Genomic DNA, 2,132 nt, shown 5'->3' with positions numbered 1-2,132 from the left:
ATAAGGGAGAGTTTGTTGATTTGGGAATGCTCTCCTGAGATATGGACTTTTGTTTCCTGGCAAGGACTCTGAGAGATGGTTTGAACATAATAATAAGGATGGCTCCTGGAAGTACACTAGGTGAGGTAGAAATGCAAGATTGTCATGGCATATGAGTTTGGAAGAAGGGATTAAAAGGCTCAAAGAAGTACATATGTTAGAAGAGGATATACCATAAAATTCGAGAAAACCAACCAGAGGACTATGTTGTATGGCAGGGCCCATAGAATGCAGCATTTTCCAAAGCAATAAGATAAGCATTTGTGAGAGAGGCACCAGCATCACTAAGAAATTCAATGGCCAGGTGCAGTGGTACATGCCTGTAGTCCCAGCTTCTTGGGAGGCTGAGGCAGGGGGATTGCTTGAGCCCAGGAGTTTGAGTTCAGCCTGGGTAACATAGCAAGACATCATCGCTAAAGAAAAAAAAATTCAATGTTAGGCCAGAGCTGAAGGTAGGAAATGACATTATAGAACTGGACTTTCTGGTAAAAACCACATTTTTCAGTGGCAAAAACCACAATTACTTTTGCACCAACCTAACAGCAAGAAAGATGATAAGCCTCTGAAACAACAGAGGCCAAGTGGCAGAGTTTAATTATCAGAGAAAGGTAGATACAATTATCTTAATGACTGGAAGGCCTGCCATGAAGAGAATGATGGAGATATTTAATAGAACTAGCATCCTTCAGGGAAAAACAGGTAGCCAACAATGGTACTACTCACATTGTATAAATTAAATAAATCAAGGATGAATGATGAGGGTGCTGAGGGCGATCATGCATTAAAAGTGACCATTTTTTCCCAGTTTCCTAACATGAGCATCCATTGCTTGAAGGAGGGATCAAGTCCTCAGGAGGATGTACCCAGCAAAACCACTGCAGATAGACACTGCAAATATCAAATGAGAGATAATTCATTCCCTCAGTCCTTCTTCAAAGTGGCCTCCATTCATTTAATCAAGTGGCTATGCACTGGGGAAAAGAGAATGCCAAGGGCTGTCAGATGTTTGTTCCAAGTTGACTTTGATACCTAGAGACTCCAAGTGTCAACATCTCTGTCTCTTCCCCTTCACCTCCTTGTTATAGTGACAGCATATAAATGGCAAGTCACAAATATGGTTCTGGTCCAAATTCATTTAACAGTGGGTCCATTGAGATGCAACTGATAGTTACTTCCCCACTCCCTGAATGTACAATTGGAAAAGACATGCTTACTTGGTGGTTGTCACAACATCTGCATAGATCCTTGACCTATGGGGTAAGAGCTATCATAATGGTGAAGGACAGCTCTCTGGGTGGCCTTGGACCAACACAGGTTTTCCCCTTTTCTAGCTTGTAGTTCCCAAGAATAACAGTGGAATGTATAGAAAGGCAACATCCTGAGGTAAGGAGAAACTGGCTACAACAGCCTGGGTCTGTTTCAGTCCTTCCTAGAAACAGGATGTCTTTCAACACTTTAGCCCAGCAATTCCTGTGCCCTGGGGTGTAAAACCCAGGGTAGGCTGCTTTACAAGGTCTCTTAGCTGCGGTGCAACTGGGGAAAGTACAGACCAGACTGTATCCACCCCAGACAGTTTTTCTAAGCCTCAGGCAATGAGCTCACAGTGAATGCTAGGCTTCTGTTATTCCTTACTGCCTATCCGTAGTAAACTGACTTCATGTAATTTGCTCTGTGTGAGAGTGCTGTGTCTCACTGGACTTAAGCAAGTAGTGAAAGTGCGGCCCCAAAAGCAATGGTTTGAAGTGGTAACCAGTGCACAGTGAACCTGCTTTACAAATGGGGAAAGCCAAATGGAAACCTCTGAAACTGCCCCCACCCCTGGCTAAGGTATCTTGGGGGAGGGAGAGAATGAGAGAAATTAGTGCCATCCTTGAAGACCTTAAGATGCAGGATGATCCCTGTCATATTCCCACTTAATTCACCAGACTATCCCCTGCAAAAAACTAGATAAATCCTAAAGGATGATAGTAAACTATTGCAAGTTCAACAATGTAGCAGCCCCAATGGCTACTGTGGTACTTTTGCTGGAGCAGATCAACATAATATTGGGTATATGATATGAGGTCATTCATCTGGCAAATGAATTCTTCTCC

The sequence above is a fragment of the Homo sapiens genome, chromosome 2 (genome assembly GCF_000001405.40).
Source record: "Homo sapiens chromosome 2, GRCh38.p14 Primary Assembly".
Classification (NCBI taxonomy): Eukaryota; Metazoa; Chordata; class Mammalia; order Primates; family Hominidae; genus Homo; species Homo sapiens.
This window is presented reverse-complemented; position numbering follows the sequence as displayed.